Genomic DNA, 19,917 nt, shown 5'->3' with positions numbered 1-19,917 from the left:
GAAGGCTGGACAGTCAGCATGATCCTGATGAATTTAATTTTTTTAAAAAAAGGTATCTCTGGCTGATTCCTAACTGCATCTGGGCAACTCACCAGGAACCCAAGCACAGGCTCCCTCCTTACATGCTCACGGCCCTTTCACCACCGCGGAACCCTGGACGGGGCTGCTTTAACTCATTGTACAAGCAGAGTAGCCTCCCCATTACTTTTAAAAATGAGTTATTCAAAGTATTTAGGGAAAGTGTTGGAGCCTGGCAGAGGGCACTCGTGGACAGTCTCTGGAACACCACATGGTGTGCCATCCAACAGAGACCCCTCCCCAGGGTGACACTATGATACTAATGCACCATGACCAGAGGAGAGACCACCCGAGCCAGGGGCCCTCCCATCCACCCCAGGGGAACTGTCCCATCCCCGACCCCTCACAGCACCTTTGCTCAGCCCATCCCCAAGCCTGGGCCACCTGTCCTGGAGCCTGGAGCACCTATCCCCAAGCCTGGGCCACCTGTTCCCAAGCCTGGGAAACCTGTCCCCAAGCCTAGGCCACCTATTTCTGAGCCTGGGCCACCTGTCCCCAAGCTAAGCCACCTGTTTCTGAGCCTGGGGCACCTGTTCCCCCTGCCTGGGGCATCTGTCTCCAAGCCTGGGCCACCTGTTTCTGAGCCTGGGCCACTTGTCCCCAAGGCTGGGACACCTGTTTCTGAGCCTGGGTCACCTGTCCCCATGCCTGGTGCTCCTGTCCCTAGCCTGGATCACCTGTCCCCAAGCCTGGGCCACCTGTTTCTGAGCCTGGGGCACCTGTCCCCTCCTCTCTCACTGACAGACACCACCCATCCCTGCAGACTGGATCAAGCCATGCATTGCAGGAAACCTTCCTCTGAGCCTCCCCAGTAACTTCCAGCCCACTTAGAGTCCAAACCCAAACCCCAGCCACCTCCTCTACTGGGAGGCAGACGCATAGCAGAGTCCAGATGTGTGCGCTGATCCCTCATGAAGAAGCACCAGGACACACGGGTCCAGAGGCCAGGGCAACCCACAATTCAGGTTGCATGAGAAAGGCCGACATGGGGACTTGAACATGCTCCCCACACAAGGCACAGCCCTGCCTTCCCTCACCTCCATGTACAGGGGAACCCCTCCCTTACCCCCACACGAGGCACCCCAGGGATTGTGGTGGGCAGAATTCTAAGGCCAGCCCCCAAGCCCCACACCCTCATATGGTGGCCCCCTCAAGTGCAGGGAGACCCAGGAGGCGAGGGGGCATCACCCCCAGGATTATGTCACGTCACACAGCCACAGGGATGCGTGAGGATGTCATCAGGTCCCTAATCAACGGAGTGCTTCAAAGGGAGGGTGTCCTGCTTGGGCCTGCGCTAATCAGGGGAACTCTTAAAAGGGAGTCTAGAGGCTTGAGACAGAAGTCAGAGAGACGTGCCCTGCTGGCCTAGAAGAAAGCAAAAACCCCACTGCGAGCTGTCCATGGTGGCCTCGTGGCAAGGATGTGCAGGCAGTCTTCAGGGTGGACGGCAGCCCCTCCAACAGCCAGCAAGAAGAGGGACCTTAGCACTACAGCCCCGAGGAACTGAATTCTGCCAACAACCTGAACAAGGCTGGAAGAAAACTCCGAACTCCAGAGAGGAGCACAGGCCCAGCCAGCACCCAGATGGCCGCCTGAGGAACCCCCCACCCAGACTCCTAACACACCATGCCCCAGGAGCATCCACAGGGGCGACAGTGACGTAGGCCACAAATGGGTGGCGATTTGCCCCAGGCATAGACAGGCTCAGGGGTGCCTGAGACTGCACCCCATCCCAGGAGCCAAGGAGAGTGAATTTTTATCAAGATACAGCACGATACTGCAAAGGCATCCTTTAAAAAGGTGGCCTGTGTTTTCACCCGGGATGTCAACTTTTGCTTCGTAAAATGTGTTCATCACTTCCGAACCTCGAACAAGAAGTCAGCTTTAGGGTCTGAACGAAAAACAATCTTGGGGTGGGTGAGTGCACCTTGCCTCACAGGGACACTTTGCTTCTACCCGTCATGGCGGGGAAAGTCACGGAGACTCCAGGGACCCAGGTCGGGGACGCTTTCTGCCATTGCATTTCTCTGCCTGGAGTGGCACCAGAAGTTTCTGGAAAGTGATCTGAACCAACATTCAATCCAAAGACACATCAGAAGACTGCACTGGCCCCTCCGACACAGCGTGGGTAATTGACAGGGGTTCTTCCACCACAAACTGCTTTAAAACTCAGAGCTGCAGTGATTTCAGGCCCTGAAGTTCAAATCGTACAGTGATGAATACATCTGAGCAGCCCCTGTGAAAGAGCTGGAGGGTTCGCTATGTTTTTAAATACATATATATATATATATATATATATATATATATATATATATATATATATATATATATATATATGACAGACAAAGCTCCCAGTGGGACCACAACTGTAAGAACAGTGAACACTCTAGCTGTGTGTGGTGGTGCCTGTAGTCCCAGCACTTTGGGAGGCTGAGGTAGGAGGATCGCTTGAGCCCAGGAGTTTGAGGCTGCAGTGAGCTGTGATGGCACCACGGCACTCCAGCCTGGGTGACAGAGCGAAACCCTATCTATAAACTCTCTCTCTCCTCTCTCTCTCTCTCTCTCTCTCTCTGTCTATATATATATGAGAGAGAGAGAGATACAGGGTCTCCCTCTGTTGCCCAAGCTGGACTGCATTGGCACCATCTGGGCTCACTGCAACCTCCACCTCTCAGACTCAGATGATCCTCCCACCTCAGCCTCCCGAGTAGCTGGGACCACAGGCGTGCACCACCACATCTGGCTTTTTTTTTTTTTTTTTTGTATTTTTGATAGAGACGGGGACTCACCATGTTGCCCAGGTTGGGATTACAGGCACGAGCCACCTCACCTGGCCTATATATATATCGATATATATCTTTATATAGATATAGATATACATATAGATATAGATTTTTTTTTTTTTAAAGATAGAGTTTCACTCTGTCACCCAGGCTGGAGTGCCGTGGTGCCATCACAGCTCACTGCAGCCTCAAACTCCTGGGCTCAAGCGATCCTCCTACCTCAGCCTCCCAAAGTGCTGGGACTACAGGCACCACCACACTCAGCTAGAGTGTTCACTGTTCTTACAGTTGTGGTCCCATTGGGAGCTTTGTCTGTCCTGTTTTACAGGACCATTCTGCAAAGCCCCAGAAGATACAGTAAAGGTGAAAGTGGGGCCGCCAGGCACCGGCCAGGGATGGGAAGAGGCTGGGGCAGGGACCTGACCTCCACCTGTGACCCTGCTGGAGCAATATATGGTTTAAATATGAGCTTACATCCTATGAAGGGAGGGACATCACTTTAAATGGTTTTTTTTTATTGCTGTTATTTTGTGGAAGGTTTTTTTGTTTGCTTTTTAATAAACCATGGAGCAGTTTCTCATTCTTACAAGGTCTTTGGGCAGCTCAGAGGTTTAACTGCTTTAGGCCAAACGTGCGAGCACTGGGAGTAGGCACAGGCGAAGCCACCGGGGTGTAGGAAGCCGAACGCTGCTCAGCAAGGAAAACGTAACAATTAGCCTCCATGGCAGAAGTGGGAACAAAAGTTAAAGGTCAGCAATGTGGAACCTTCCTCTCTCCCCGCTCCTTCTGGACGTCTCTGGAACTGGTGTTCCCTGATCATACAAGGGCCTCAGATCCCCTGACCGCGGTAACGCGCCGGCTCACGGGTGCTTCCCCAGCCTCAAGCTCATGACTTTGTCCTGGTGGGTAGCCCCCCCAAAAAAACACAAATGCAGTCCCTCCAGCAGTTTAGATGGGAGAGACCAAGGTGTTCTTTCTTTGTGACACCTGGCCAGGAGTCCATTGCAGGGCCAGCTCTCGGAGCTGTAGTCAAACAGCTTCATTCAGACAAGCCAGAAGAGGGGCTGGGGTGTCTCTGTCTCGCAGGCAGCTTCCCTGAAACCCATTTCCAAACAAGAAGGGAAGAATCACTTTCTAATAAAAGAAGAGCAGAATTGACCACTCTGGTTTCATTGAGAGGTTGTTCAGCAAGACTTCCTCTTCTTGAGGGATGGTTCTGGCCGGAAAATGTCATAACAACAAAAATAGCTAACATTTATTGAGGGCAGATGGTGTGCCCAGTACTTCACGGATATGACTTCATTGGAATCCTTACTTTAAACCTCAGGATAAAGTGCTCTTTCTTTCTTCATTTCACAGCCAAAGAAACAGGCTTGGGTAGCTGGTGTGACCTCTTCAAGTCCCCACGGCTTTACAAGGGGACAGGAGCACAGGCGGCTGATGCCAAAGGGGCAGCCCTTATCCCTTTCTTCCCTGGAGAGAAGCAAGGCTTTTTATTATTATATTATCCTTATTACAAAAATAATATGTTTTAGATCATTTTTAAAAGAGGTGTAGCCGGGCACAGTGGCTCATGCCTGTAATAGTAGCACTTTGGGAGGCCAAGGCGGGGGTGGATCACTTCAGGTCAGGAGTTCGAGACCAGCCTGGGCAATGTGGTGAAACCCCGTCTCTCCTAAAAATACAAAAATTAGCCAGGAGTGGTGGTACGCACCAGTAATCCCAGCTACTCAGGAGGCTGAGGCAGGAGGATCATTTGAACCCAGAGGCGGAGGTTGCAGTGAGCCGAGATCTCGCTATTGCACTCCAGCCTAGGCAATAAAGCAAGACTCCGTCTCAAAATAAATAAATAAAAGAGATGTAAAAACGCCTTCAGCTCATACACCTTGCCACCGTCCAGCTATAATACCCCTGTAATAATCATGATGATGTCTGAGAGTCGATTCTTTCAATATTTTCTATAGTTTTTTTTATAAAAATGGGACTGAACACTGTATACATTCTTTTTGCTCCTGGTCTTCTTTTTCCCGTGATCCAGGTGGTTTTACCCCCCAGGGTCTCTTCTTCTTCCTCCTCCCTCTTGCTTGCCGCCCTCTCGTTGTGGGGAAACTGCAGATTGTTTTCTTCGCCATGTCCCCTCCTGCTGGGACCTCAGAAGCTGCTGCCATTCAGTGAGCCACTGCCTGTGGTTGCCATGGGAAGGGATGCTAGGAATTCAAGTTCCTGGAGCCTCAACCACATTGGCAGGAACCGCCTCACCCAGACAGCTCCCCCAGCTCAGAGACCCCAAGCCTCGGGGTCCGAGAGCCACCCAGAGCGGAGGCAGAGAGGAAGTTGGAATCAAAACCCCATAAGCCCGTCTCTTCCCCATACCAGTGCTTCAACCCATGGAGCTGACAATCTTAAAACAGGAATTTTAAAAATAAGGAAAGCAAGAAGGGGAAGAGAAGCCAAGCGGTGGGAAAGATCCACACCCCTCAACAGGAGTCACTCTCTGTCCGAAGCCTGCTCTGCCAGCCATCCTGTCTTTACTCCTGGAATGCCATCACTGGCTTGGCTTTACAAGGGCCGCCATGGCAAAGCACCACAGCCCGGCGGCTTAAACACGGACACTTACTGCCCCACAGTCCTGCAGGCTGGAAGTGAGATCAAGGCACGGGCAGGTTGGTTTCTCCTGAGGCCTCTCTCCTTGGCTTGCGGATGCCATCTTCTCCCTGTACCCACAGGTTCGTCCCTCTGTGTGTGTCTGTGTCTCCATCCCCTCTTCTTATAAGGACACAATCATAATGGGTTAGGGCCCACCCTAATGATCCCATTTTAACTTAATTCTGAAAAAACTATAAATACAGTCATACTCTGACATCCTGATTACTAGGACTTCAACATACAAATTGGGTAGGGGACTCTATTGACATTTTGGATACACACACACACACGCACCACAACTGAAAATAGCTCCAAACATTGCCAAATGTCTCCTGGGAGGAGGGCTTACAATACCACCCCCTCCCTGAGAGCCATCGCCTAGACCTGAAAGGAAAGGAAGACCCACAGGGGATGCTGTGGCCTCCCCAAGCCCCACAAGACTCCAGACAGAGGAGGAACTTGGCCGCTGGCTCACGCCGGGCTGGCCTCATTCACCACCCTGTGGGGAAATCTAGGCATGTGGCTTCAACAGTGCAAAGGAACACTGCCAGGTCCCCAGGTCCCCGCACGCCTGCTGAATCTGTGATCCCATCACAGAGATGGAGCACCTGGAAGCATCAGCGATGCTGACTTGCAAAGCTGCACAGAGCCGTGGCCACCAAGCCCAGCTCCCTCACTTCCTGAAAGTGCAGAGACAGGGAACCACTTGCCCAAGGTCACACAGAGTTCCACCTGACAGGACTGCAGCCTGGTCTCCTGGCGCTCGGCCCAGTGCTCTCCAAATGGCCACAGGCTCTGGGCACCCAGGCAGACCCTGGCATGGACACCTCCCCTCTGGGGTCTCAGCAAAATCCCCAGCAGGCACCCTGGCCAGACAGAGAGCCAGAAGGGGCCTGCCTAGACTCTGGGGAAAGATTTCCCAGGAGGGACCCCAGGAGAAGGGCTTGAAAATTCCCCCCACCCACCCACAGGGAATGAGCAGCCCGACCCACTGCCTGTGAGGGTCCCCGCTCTCCCAGATGCAGCGTTTCCCTCCTGCCCACACACCCCTTGGAAGGTACAGCCCTTCCTGCCGGAGGCCCCCAGGGCCCCTCACCTCATGCCTCCACACATCCTCCTCCCCCTCCTGGCCACTCTGCCAGGCCATCGAACGGGAGAGGGAAATTAAATCTGAGCCTTGATTTTGTGAGGAAAATAATGAAAGTGCCCAAGGTGAAGTGAATCAAGAAAAATGATACAAGTGACTGGTTAAAATAAATGTTATTAAAGGAACAGGGAGGGAGAGGCTTGAGTGAATGTCCACGTGGGGAAAGAGATGACAAATTTCACATCTTGTGATCAAAGCTCCATTTCTCTTCACGTGCAGTTCCCAGGCTGTGAATGCTTGGGCCCAGCCAACCCTTCCAAAGCCAACAGCTCAAAGCCAGCAACTCAAGGACCATGCCGGAGAAACATGGTCCCTAACAGATTCAGTGGCTCCCAAGACACATCGGCCCCAGTGAGCAACAGATCACAAAGGTGTGAGCCGGGCTTGTAAACATACGCAGGCCTTGGGCCAGAAGCCCAACAGGGTTGGAATGCATGCTGCCTCTCCTTCCTAATCCTTTTGAGCTGCTTTTGCTGGGAATGTGCCACTTCCAGGGGGCTCTTCAGCTTGTCTTCTGAGCAGTGAGTCTTGTTAGAGGCAGCTGGGACATTGGTGAATCATAAGCCTGATTTGAAGGGACTGGATGTCCAGGCTCTGTGATTCCCAAACTCCTGCCACCTACAGCCCTGCTGAGAACTCCCTTCAGCTCAGAGCCTTCCCTGCAGATTAACCCTGCAGGCCTTGGGAAGGGAATCTAAGTGAGATGGCTTCTCCGTCCCCTCTGCCTTCTTCCTGCCTGGGATGTGTATGCAGTACCTGGAAGCAGTGCAGCCATTCTGCAGCCTTGAAGATTAAATGCACCTGCTATGGAGGGCAGGACAAGGGAAGGGGCCTGGGTTGTGTCTCAGCCCTGCACCACTTTCCTCTAAACATCTTGTCACAAAGATTTAGGGACAGCAAAGAGGAGGGGAGAGAGGACAGCCAGGACATAAAAGTGACACCAACGGCAAGGAGGGAAAAGAGTCCAACACTTCAAAATGGTCTCCCGGGGTATGGGCAAGAAGAAGCCACAGAGTTTGTCCTGTTTCCTGAGTGGCTGATGCCTTATCATTCTTCAGGTCTCAGATCAAAACACTTGATTGGAGAAACCCACCCTGATAACCCCAGCTAAAATACCCACTGTCACCCTCCCCACGACCCTGCACACTCTGTGAGGTGGGCAACTCTTCATCTGTCTCACCACTCCAGATGGATGATGGATGGATGGATATAGGGTGGATGAGAGAAGGATGGGCAGATGATGGATGGATGGATGATATGGATGGTTTGGCTGTGTCTCCACCCAAATCTCATCTTGAATTGTAGTTCCCATAATCCCCACATGTCGTGGGAGGGACCCAGTGGGAGGTAATTGAATCATGGGGGAAGTTACCTTCATGCTGTTCTCATGATATTGAGCTCTCATGAGATCTGATGGTTTTATAAGAGGCTTTCCCCCTTTGACTCAGCACTTCTTCTTGCTGCTGCCATGTGAAGAAGGACATGTTTGCTTCCCCTTCCACCATGATTGTAAGTCTCCTGACAGCTCCACAGCCATGCTGAACTGTGAGTCAATTAAACGTCTTTCCTTTATAAAGTACCCAGTCTCGGGTATGTCTTTATTAGCAGCATGAGAACAGACTCACACAGATGAATTAATAAATGCCCAGGGATCTTCCTCATGTACCACAGTGCCCTTCAAACACAAACTTGTTTAAATAAAATGTAGTGATTGTTTAATTTGGAGCAACAAGGCAGAAAAATCTATCTAAACCATGAGGACTGTCACAGAGAGGAAGGCACCGCAAACACTCACGCAGGTCAGACCAGACTTTGGCAAATCGCCGGTCCTGTCTGTGCCTGTTTCTCAAGGGGGCTCCTTGGCCTATAAAATCAAATGGTTTTGTGGCCAAGTTCAAGAAAGCCATATTTTCCAAAACCTACAGCTCAGAAAAGCTGATCACTCTGAGACTCCAAGGAATGGGAGCTTCTGGCTGCAAATCCTTGAAACACAAGAAAGAAATAGCTGCTGGACTGGGAGTAGGCTGGGGTTCTGGACGGGGCTCCCCAGCATCCTTCCAGAGTGGGAAGCAATTGAGCTGAAGGTTGGTTCTGAGTGAGAAGGCCCTTCCAGGAGAGCTGGTGGGTGCTACATTCAGTTGTCAGGGGACCCAGAACTGCAGGATGGTGTTCCACGGCCTCCACCAGGCTGCAAGATGTACATGGCCCTTGTTATAGGCCGGAGCCATGAGTCTCTGCCACAGGCACAGCCTTCCTGGGCAAATGCCTCCCTGATGGTGTCGGGAGAAAGGGAACTTCATTACACAGATTAATAAAACATAAATATGAGCTTGGAAATCTAATAATAGCTGGTTTACATGCTAACGAGCCCTCAAAGCAGCAAGTTCAAGGTCTCTCCATGACCAAGCAGAGCACCGAGAGGGCCTGGGGCTCATGGCAGGGGAGCTCTTGTCTCTTGCTTTGTCACTTACCCGCTAGGGAGCCTTCACCCCACAAAACAGATACATGGATAACAAATGACATTTCTGCTAGGTAAATCTGATTTTCCCATGACGTTCATAATGAAAAACAAGGACATGTTCCCATAGAAAAGAAAAAAGCCCACTGACTGTTAGTGGGAAGGGCTAAGGACTGGCTCCTTCTTCAGCACGGTGAGGGAGTAGCGCCACATGTGCTGCCAGGGCTGGGGACAGCTCTACACACTCAGTGGACAGCAGACACGTGTCCTGCAGCAGCTGGCCCGGGGCCGGGCCCTGGCGGGACCTCACTACATGTTTATTGAGCTGGATTGGAGCAGCTGTCTCAGCAAGCCCTGCGAGCCTGTTTACAGCGCTCACCCTTCTGACCCCATTACCCACCCACTCCGGCTCTCAAAAGCCCCTCCACTTTTGACCTTCAGATCCCACAGCCAGTCATCAGCAAAATCCCCTGTACCTCCAAGCACTCCTCTAGAGGGTCCCTTCACCCACTGCCTCCAGCAGGGCCCTGGCTCTCTCCCCCATGGTGCACGCCTCCCCTGCTCTGTCTTAGCGGGGGACCGCTTTCCCTCCCACGGCCTCGGCCCACAGAGCTGAAGCTGGGTGGGTGGCCTTCTGCTTTTTACGGTGGCTTTCAGACTACACTGGTGAGCTTCTGCTCACTATCTAACAAATGACCAAAAACCAGCGGCACTAAAGCTACACACCACAGTCACAGTGGTTCCTTCCCACGAATCTCGGGTTGTCTGGGTGAATTTTCTGGGCCCTGCTAGTCCTGGCTGGGCTCTCTCACGTGTCATGCTCCCCAGGCTGGTGGGTTAGTGGCTGGATAATCTCGCTGGGCTTCCTCACCCGTTCTGCACGCAGCAGACCATCGGCCAGGGCTCCCCAGTTCTCCCCCGGGCAGCATCTCACCTTCTAGCAGGCTGGCTTGAGCCTGTGCCCGTGGGAGCCTTGGGACTCCAGGCCCAGCAAAAGGACAAGCCCCAGTGGACATGGGCTTTCCAGCCTTCGACTCTAATGTCCCACTGGTCAAAGCGAGGTACGCAGCCAAGCCCGGAGTCTGTGAGGGACCCCGCCCCACCAAGAGCAGAGACACAGGGTGGGAGTGGGGTCATTTTTGCCAACAGTCTATGCACAGACCCCGTTCCCTCCCTCCACAGTCAAAGCCTCCTTTCTGAGTCCCATGTCAGTGGGGGTGGTGGCCCCCATCCCCTTTGCCAAGTCCCCCTCCAGCCCTGGTTCCTGGAAGGCTCAGCTTTTGTCACTCATGCCCTGCCCCCGTCCCACTCCCACCCAGTCATGAGGAGTCTGACTCCTCTCAGCCCCTCCTCCATTTTGGCCCTCACCGAGCATTGGCTGAACTCCTCCCTCATGGCCACGCAATGTCAGACACCCTCACAACCACTGCTGCCATCCTCCTGGCCCCTCCCTGGGCCACGCCGACTGCCACAGCCCTTCCCCTCAACCCCTGTGGCCCTCCCTGCACTTCTGCCGCCGACTCCCACCCCTCCAACAGCTCCTCAGCCCCCCTCGCATTTGCTTCATCTTTAGAGGTCTCCTTGCAAGACCCTCATGCCCTGTCGCTTTGGCAGCCTGCAAAACTTCAGTCCCAGGGACAGTCGCCCATCCCCCAACTCGCAGCACCCGCATCCTTCGGCTCAACGAGGATGAGGAACAGCTCATGCCATCGGCCTCACTTTACATTCAGCCCATGCATCTCAAGGGGGCCCCTCATCCTCCCTGCTGGCCCGGCCCCCAGCCCCTCCACACGCTAGTCTCCTGAGTGGTGGCATCATGTCACTGTCTCAAATGGGAGTTTCCAGGAGGTTCCACAACCCACCTCAGTGCCCATGCCTTCCACCTTCTCCCTTGTCACCCCAGGGGCCAGTCCAGGCCCCTCTCCAGCGCCAGCCCTCCCACTGTGCACTAAGTTCACCCCCTCGACCCTGCCCAGGCCATCACCCCAGCAAGCCTGCTTCCGTCTGCTCCCTCGTGGGATAGTCCCTCTGCCACGTCATCCCCAGCAACATACGAAACTCACCTGCCGCTGTTTTTCCCCTTAACTGATAAGCACACAGCACACAACGCACAAGGCACAGCTCCCTCCTAGCTTCCCCCGTTCCCCCACTCCCCTCTACAGAGAAAAGGCTCATAAGAGCCATCCACGCCTATGATCTCCACTCCCTCTCCCGCCACCGTCTCTTGCGCCCACTCACTCTGAGCATGACCTCCACGCTGCCACCCAACTTCTTGGCCAAGGTCGTCAGTTACCTCCACGCTGCTGACGACGGTGGCCCACGCCAGGTTCTCAGCAGCAGCCCGCAGCCGCGTGATGGCTCCTGTCCGCTGGGCGTGCTTTCCTCCCGCGTCCTCCAAGACGTCACACCTTTCTGCTTTGCCATGCACTTCTGTGGTCACTCCTTTGCTCAGGGTCACTGCGTGTGGCCACACAGGTGGGCCCTGCACAGTTCCAGGGGTGCGATTCACATGGCCTGCGAGGTGAATGGTGACCCCGTAGTCAGGGGACGTGGCTGCTTTGCCCTTGTGGATCCCACTCCTCCCCTGCCTCCTAACAGTGGGACCCGGGTTTTCATTCTGGGATCTCTCCCTCTCTCTGCCCACTCACCCCTGGTGAGCGCGTCCAGCCTCAGCCCTACACTCAAATCTCCCGAAAGCACGTTTTCCATCTGTGATCTTTCCTCCAAATGTCAGGTCCACTTTTCCTAAAGATTCCCCAGTAGCGCCACTGGGATGTCCAATAAGCATTGCATATTACCGCGTCCAAATCCACATTCCCCAGAGCTGTCCCCAGCCATCTCTCAGCTCAGCGGCAACTCCATCTTCCAGTCCCTCCAGCCCAAAACAATGAAATCAGACCATGTTACTCCTCTGCTCGAAACCCTCACATGGCTCCTGGCTCACACAGAGCAAGAGCCAAGGTCACCAGAGCCGCCCTCCAGGCCCTCGGGACGCGGCTTCAGCGTCCCTCGCTTTCCTCTCCCTGGCTCCGCTCCGGCCTTCGGGCCTCCTGTCTGCTCCTGGAGACTGGCCATGTGTTTCTGCCCATATTCACTTATTCTCACACTGCGATAAAGATACCACCCGAGACTGGTAATTTATAAAAGAAAGATGTTTAATTGACAGTTCTGCATGGCTGAGGAGGCCTCGGGAAACTTACAATCATGGCAGAAGGCAAAGAAGAAACAAGCACCTTCTTCACAAGGCAGCAGGAAAGACCAAAAAGCCGAAACCGCCATTTATAAAACCATGAGATCTCGTGAGAACTCACTCACTATCACGAGAACAGCATTGGGGAAACCGCCCCTGTGGTCCAATCACCTTCCACTAGGTCCCTCCCTCCACACGCGGGGATGATGGGGATTACAACTGGAGATGAGATTCGGGTGGGGACACAGCCACACCCTCTCAGTGCCTCAGGGCACTTGCACTTGCTGTGCGTCTGGCTGGAGTGCTCTTTCCCTGCTGTCTGCAGGGCTCCTCCCTCCCCTCCTCCAGGTCTGCACCTATTCCTGGCCCTCTCAGGAGGCCTTCCCTGGTCACCTGCTTCCAATCGCGGCTCTCCTCTCCGTTTGCCTCATCCCTTATGCCTTCTCCACGGTACTCAGCCTCAAACAGAAACACATTTTACTTTTTAAAATACTGTTGCTGCCTCCACTGGCATGCCAGCTCCACGAGGGCAGGGCTTTGTCTGCTTTGCTGACCATGGCACCCTAGACAGCCATGCCTGGCACCCAGTAAGTGCTCAGTAAATCTTTTTGAGTGAATAATTAACATCTAAATGAAGACTCATGCTAAAGGCACAGTGGCAGCGTCCCTCCCTTCCCCAGGGCAGCCATCTCTCCAGGTGCTGCAGGTCGTCTGCCTTAACTGGCTCTTCTCTTCTGGCGGGCTTCCCCTCAAATTCCTGGGAGCAGCCCCTGCTACCAAAGGCATCTGGCGCTGAGTCCCCAGGGTAAACCCTGGAGTGTCTGTCAGTGCCCCAGCAAGGATGCCAAGCCTTAAAGGAGAGCCCTAGAACTATTCCTGCTCTGGGAGTCTGGGCCTGGGGGAGTGTGTATGTGGGGGCATGCCTCTGTGTGTGTGCCCATTCATGTAGGTGCATGTATGTGGTTGTGCATGTTTGCATGTGTGTGTACATGTGTGCCCTGTGTGAGTGTGTGCATGTACATCTGTGCATATGTGCATACATGTGTGCTCTATATAAGCATGTGCATGCTTTGTGTGTGTGAGCACGCATGTATTTGCATGTATCGTTGTGCATGCGTGTACATGTGTGCCGTGTGCGTATGCTTATTGTGTGTGCACATGCATATATGTGCACACATGCACTGTATAAGTGCATGTGTGCTTATGTGCGTGCATGTATGTATGTGTATGTGGTTGTGCATGTGTGCCCTGCATCAGTGTGTGCCTGCTTATGCATGTATGCACATGCATGTATGAGCATATGTGTGGTGGCACATGTGTGTGTACATGTATGCCCTGGGTGTGTGCATGCTTATGTGTGTGTGATAGTGCATGTGTGCCCTGGGTGTGTGTGATGTGTGCACGTGTGTGCACATGTGAGAGTGTGGGAGGCTGCTGGGAGGCAGCTTACTCCCAAACTCATACTGTCCTCAGGCCATCTCACACCCCTGAGGGGAGAAGGGGGACCTGGGTGTCCCTGTCCTGAAACAGATCTGGAAGTCACCTTCCACTGAGGCGATGAGAGTGAAGGGCAGTACCCACCCTGCTCTGGCCACACCCCTGAGTCAGGACCCACTGCCTGCTCAGCACACAGTTCTCCTCCAGGGGAAAATTCCCTTTGCTTGAGGCATTCTCTCTCTCTCTCTTTTTTTTTTTTTTTTTGAGGCAGGGCCTTGCTCCATCACCCAGGCTGGAGTGCAGTGGCACGATCTTGGCTCACTGCAGCCTCGTCTCCTGGGTTCAAGCAATTCTCTGGGATCACAGGTATGTGCCACCATGCCCAGCTAATTTTTGTATTTTTAGTAGAGATGGGGTTTTACCATGTTGGCCAGGCTGGTGTCAAACTCCTGACCTCAAGTGATGATCCACCTGTCTCAGCCTCCCAAAGTGCTGGGATTACAGGCGTGAGCCACTGCGCCCGGCTTTGAGACTTTCTCTTTCTGAAGATAAATGTCTGCTGACCTCACAACCGATGATGCCTCTCCCCCACCCACACCACCCACTTGCCCCATCTGCTCACTGCACACGGGGACCAGAGCCCCAATTCCCAAACTCCCCTCAGACAGAAACAACTGGGACTAGCAGCTTCTGGGGAGCAAAGCTCAGCTCACTCTGCCTTTTCACCCTTGTTTTAAGGTCAAAAGGAGAAAAATCGCTCCTCAGTTCTATGTTTCACCTGTAACTAACCCTGGAACTAAATTAGTAGGTATTTTCTGCTTTATTTGGGTACAGTCAAGCTGGATGATCAGGCCCCACAGCCACCGATCTCCCAGGATGTCAAACGTTATGGGCTGCTCCATATTCACTCTCCAAGTCCCTCTAGACACCATGGGGAATATGGTCCCTGACCATGCTGGAGTCCCCATAGACACCGTGGGGAATATGGTCCCCGAGCATGCTGGAGTCCCCCCAGAAACTGTGGGGAATATGGTCCCCGACCGTGCTGGAGCCGCCCTAGACACTGTAGGGAATATGGTCCCCGACCGTGCTGGAACTGCCCTAGACACTGTGGGGAAGGGTCCCTGACCGTGCTAGAGTCCCCATAGACACTGTGGGGAATATGGTCCCCGACCGTGCTGGAGTCCCCCTAGACACTGTGGGGAAGGGTCCCTGACCGTGCTAGAGTCCCCCTAGACACCATGGGGAATATGGTCCCCAACCGTGCTGGAGTCCCCATAGACACTGTGGGGAATAGGGTCCCCGGCCGTGCTGTAGTCCCAATAGACACTGTGGGGAATATGGTCCCCGACTGTGCTGGAGTCCCCATAGACACTGTGGGGAATAGGGTCCCCGACCGTGCTGGAGTCTCAAACGTCCAGTCAGCCCTGTGCACAGGAGCCCCTGAGCTGCAGTGGAAGACACATTCTTTGCACAAGGAATTGTTCTGGACATCTAGTAAGAGTAGAGAACTTGACAGGGCACAGTGGTGCATGCCTGTGATCTCAGGACTTTGGGAGGCCAATGAGGGAGGATCGCTTGAGCCCAGGAGTTTGAGGCCAGCTAGGGCAACAAAGTGAGACCCTGTCTCAATCAATCAATCAATCAATCAATAATTTTTAAAAGAATAGAGAATTTACCTTTGGTTGAATTCTTGGTAGTACAGCAGAGTGGTCATCTACACAAACTCTGGATCCAAAATACTGTGGCCAAAATCCCAGCTCTCCCACTTACTCTGTGTGACCTTAGGTAAGTTTCTCCACCCCTCTGTTCCTCACCTTCCCAATCTGTAAAATGGGTGACAATAATGAGCACCAACTGATATAGTTTGGATGTGTGTCCCCTACAAATCCCATGTTGAAATGTGACCTCCAGTGTTGGAGATGGGCCTGGTGGGAGGTGTATGGGTCGTGGGGACAGATCCCTCATGAATGGCTTGCTGCTGTCCTCACAATAACAAGTGAGTCCTCTCTCTATGAGTTCATGTGAGACCCGGTTGTTTAAAAACAGCCTGGCACCTCCCTCCTGTCTCTTGATCCTTCTCCCACCATGTGATATGCCAGCCCCCTCTTCACCTTCTGCCATGACTGTAACCTCCCTGAGGCCTCTCCAGGAGCAATACTGTAACCTCCCTGAGGCCTCTCCCTGTGCAGCCTGCAGAACCATCAGCCAAAATAAACCTCTTTTCTTTATAAGTTACCGTGCCTCAGGGATTCCTTTATAGCAACACAAACAGACTAACACATCTACCTTCTAGGGTATTGTTAGGAGCCAATGAGTTAACACCTATAAAGCTTCTCTGTGCTTAGCACAATGACAGACTTGCACCTATTCTTTTAGAAACCTAGAAAGAAACAGATCAGGTGTTGGATCAGGTACCAGGTGATCACATTTTCCAACTAGTTTGGAGCCTCAGCTCTAGTATTCTCCATCCTCATGAGTCATTCACTAGGACTTTCAACCCAAACCTCTACAGAGTAATGACCAGCAGGAAAAAGAAGCAGCTGCTAAGTGCTGGTTCCTTTTTGATCTTTATTTAAAGGAGGATTAGGAAATCCTGCAGAACTGAAAAGCCTGAAGTGAGGCTATGGTAAGGACAGAATTTTTTTAATCGAGCAGATCAAAGAGGGAGGTAGCTCCTGGTGCTCCCAACATCTGAAGCCATTCTTTTAATCACGCTTCAGACTGCCTGGAGGTTGGCGGGACGACGGTGTGGCTCACCATCCCCAAGCCTGTGTGCTTTCCAGGCAATGAACCACAGAGCTTGATCTTTTTTCCCTACACACCAGGAAAAGGAAAAGAAGGTAGCTTTTGTTAAGCCTCATGCAGGGCCAGCAAGTTGCCCGTGTCACCTCATTAATCCCATGACAACCCTATGGGGTGAAAAATGTTATGCCCTTGTTGGAAACGAAGGAGCCAGGCCTCAGAGAGACTCTGTCACTTGTTCAAGGTTATACAAGACAAATGGGAAGTGAGAGTCACCTCAAGGTCCACTCCCCACACAGGCTCTTCCCACTGCCCCCGGGGAAATAGCCTTTGGTCCTGGGCTCTCAGAAAATTCAAAGACAATTTGGGAATTGTTTACATCCTCAAATCTTCTGTCCTCCATTTTTTCTTACTGGTGTCCTGGGGGGGCCCCAAAGTAGAGAAGCCACCACGGGTTGCCCCTGCATTTGCTGAAGTGCTCAGGAAGTTCCACCCAGGAGCCACCTGCTCTCTAACGTCCCCTTTGCCCACCTGGTCTTCAGATCTTTCCACACCTGGGCTGTCCAGTCCCACTCTGATGGGCTTCTGCAGTTAGCAAGGTCAAGACCATAGTATATTTTTCAGAGAGCCACATGCCGCCCTCAGCAAGCACTCCCAGGTCCCTCATTCATGAAGGGGGAACATGAAGGTTGGTGCAGGCAGAAGAGAAAACTAGGACAGACTTTTCAGAAGTGGAGGAAAAAGTAATACCCTTCACAGGTGAGCTGCTGAAATCGTCCCACAGGGGAGCATTTTGTTTTTGATGAAACAGCTGACATTTGCCTCCAGGAGTCCAAACTGAGAAAAATGGAGTAGGCAGTACTTATCCCAGCCAGGGATTACAGTGTTTTGGCCTGACACCCCCTGGGGCCCCAGCAGACTACTCAACCGAAATACAAAAACAGGAGTTGATGTGATGTTTTATCCATGCACAGCGTGACAGCTGGCTGTCTGCTTTTTCCTGCATAAACAGGAGTTGACAAACAAGTTATAAGCAGGTGCCCAGCTGGTGTACTGCCGTCTGCTCTCCTGATACAGATGCTGTGTGCCCCCATTCATGGAAACCCATAGGGACTTTGGAGGTTGGGTTGAAGTGCCAGGACCACAGGGAACAGAAATGAGGTTTGTGGAACAAAGGCATGGTCCATGGCAGGCAAGGTTTCAGCAGTTGACATGTTCGAACATTGTAGAAGCCTTCCGGATCCAAATCTGCCTGCTGGGAGTAGCAGATGCTGGTGATATTTCACACCTTAGTGCCTCAGCCCACTTGACCTCAGCACTATTGGCATGGACAAGTCCCCCACCTCAGGAACCCTGCATCTCTCTGCTGTTTGGAGTCAGAGCTTTCTCTGATGCAATAGAGGCTGCTCTGCCTTTCACTGGCACAGCCCAGAGGCATGGGAAGGGGACATTCCCAGAGGTAACCTGAAAGAATAGGGGACGGGAGTTGATGGACAAATGGCCCAGCCTCGCTTCCTTCAGAAGCACAATAATGAGAGGCATTCTACACGGTGCCCAGAGTCCCCAGTAGAACTAGAGCTCAGTTGAACACATCATCTCAATAGAAAATGCTTTCATTGAACTTTCCTCCTGCCCTATTCCACCCCCACTATCCCTGCTTCTACCCCCTGGGATCACCGGTCCATGAAAGTAGCTGCATCCAAGACCTTGTCTCAGACTCTGTTTCTAGGGAATCCAAACTTAACGAAGAAAGCAATCCTCAGAATAGAATAGTGGAACTGGACTGTTCCCTGGAAAGACAGCAACAAAGACTTCATGACGGGGTCTTCAGGGATGTTAATCACTTAAGTTAACATGTTAAGCACTTCCTCATGAGCAGTTCAGTGCACATTGATGGGATCTTGCTTCAAGTCTGTGCTGCCTTGACTCTCCACTTTTCTGCCCCAAGACTTTCTCCAAAACTGCAGAATATCCCCCACACGGGGACAACCCTCAAATGTTGAAGATTGGGAGTTGATGGATAAATCCCTAGGTGATGTTAAGTGTGACAATAATCCCTCTAAACTATAAAATATTTTGCCTGTAGTGTGTTGGGATGAGGTCCAGGCAAAAGGAAAGCATTGGCTTATACACTAACTAGCACTTGAAGTGTATGAAAGCAGTGGTAGTTATAATGATGGGAGAGTTTGCTGGGTTTTGTTAACTGCCTTAGATTTGATGAAAGAGAATGACAAGCTCAGGTCAGCCAATTATCAGCTCAGGCTATGCTGTCAAAGCCAGAACGCCTCCATAGCAGCATTTACAGTGACCCTCATCTCTTGCAGCCAGAGGGCAGATGGTGCTGAAAATCAGGACTGTAATTAAATCTAAAGGTGGAAAAACCATAAAAGAGACTGAATGCATAGCCTTGACAGGTCTCCAAGGCTAATGTCAGGGATCAATATAGAAAGAGTGGGACCCTGAGTCCAGGGATGGAGACATGTGGAAGAATGCACCTGAGAATTTGGGACCTTATCCATTGACCCCTCCAAACTGAAAGAGGGAACTTTCTCCCCCTTTCTAGAGAGGAAAACCCTCTTAATTGGTGACTATGAAAAGGCAAGCCTTCATCTGATAATGCTCCGTAAGGTGATGCTTCTTATCCTCGGGTTCCCTCTTCCGCTCCTCATTACCTCCGGACCAATAACTAGTGTCAGTGATCAGCATATTCCAAGCAGGCTCTGAGAAATCTAGGATGAGTGGTGAAGGAAAGAGCTGCTGAATTTCAGTTATGACCGCTCAGGGCCTGCTACAGCAGCAATACTAGCTATGTTTGACAGATCCCTCCGGCTTAAGCCTTTCATTAGGGAGTTCAACTGGCCACTACGTTAAAGATTCAGTGACAGAGGGAACATAAGGTGGGGTATGTGCAGATTAACAGTTAAGGGGCGGACTGTAGCAGGCTCCCCTTGGCCCGCCCGATTTCAGCACTGCTATCGTGGACAGTTCCGTGCATGTTGATGGGGTCTTCGTTCAAACCTGGGCTGCCTTGACTCCCTGCTTTTCTGCACCAGGGCTTTCTCCAAAGCTGCAGAATGTCCCACACACAGAGACAACCTTCAAATGAAATTGGGAGTTGGTGGATAAATGCTCCCACCTTGCATCCTCCGGAGAGCAATTCTAAAATGCCTTCTACAAAATTCCTCACAGGGTCTCCAGCAGAATTAAGATCTAGCTGTCCACAGCAGTAACTAGCTCAACAATGAATCCTTGATTTATTCTTCCCTCCCCTCCTGTCCCACTACCATCAAGCTACTCTCCAGCTTCCTGGGAATCTACTCTCCATTAAGCTCCCTGTGCTGCAGCCCTTGCCTCAGGCACTGCAAGTGGGACATCCAGAGACATCGGATAATGTTTTTGCTTTGTCCATTAGCCAGGGGCCACTCACAATGTG

The 19,917-nt window shown here is 52.2% G+C and overlaps 1 long non-coding RNA gene across 5 annotated transcripts in view, besides 2 other annotated features; it reads right to left on the bottom strand.

The window, feature by feature from the left end:
- LINC02780 (long intergenic non-protein coding RNA 2780) overlaps nt 1–12,418 on the bottom strand; it is a 36,615-nt gene extending 24,197 nt beyond the window's left edge. For 3 of the 5 annotated variants that reach the window (NR_186588.1, NR_186585.1, NR_186589.1), the window contains exons 1-2: nt 12,313–12,418; nt 11,406–11,626 (exon numbers count right to left, since the gene is read on the bottom strand). This is a non-coding gene — a long non-coding RNA (long intergenic non-protein coding RNA 2780). Of the gene's footprint in view, nt 1–6,751; nt 8,925–11,350; nt 11,627–12,312 lie in introns of those variants that run through there. The other 2 variants (NR_186586.1, NR_186587.1) reach the window with 2 other exon arrangements.
- Nucleotides 10,253–10,753: an enhancer, noted in NCBI's record as "H3K4me1 hESC enhancer chr1:4037815-4038315 (GRCh37/hg19 assembly coordinates)". NCBI's record gives its function as "activates a minimal SCP1, AML or CMV promoter by ChIP-STARR-seq in naive H9 embryonic stem cells {active_cell/tissue: H9 hESC(naive)}" and the evidence as "EXISTENCE:reporter gene assay evidence [ECO:0000049][PMID:30033119]".
- Nucleotides 10,754–11,254: an enhancer, noted in NCBI's record as "H3K4me1 hESC enhancer chr1:4037314-4037814 (GRCh37/hg19 assembly coordinates)". NCBI's record gives its function as "activates a minimal SCP1, AML or CMV promoter by ChIP-STARR-seq in naive H9 embryonic stem cells {active_cell/tissue: H9 hESC(naive)}" and the evidence as "EXISTENCE:reporter gene assay evidence [ECO:0000049][PMID:30033119]".
- Nucleotides 12,419–19,917: the final 7,499 nt, after the last annotated feature.

This window comes from Homo sapiens, chromosome 1 (assembly GCF_000001405.40).
Source record: "Homo sapiens chromosome 1, GRCh38.p14 Primary Assembly".
NCBI lineage: Eukaryota > Metazoa > Chordata > Mammalia > Primates > Hominidae > Homo > Homo sapiens.
The sequence above is the reverse complement of the archived record's forward strand: the minus strand, read 5'-3'. Positions and strand labels throughout refer to the sequence as shown.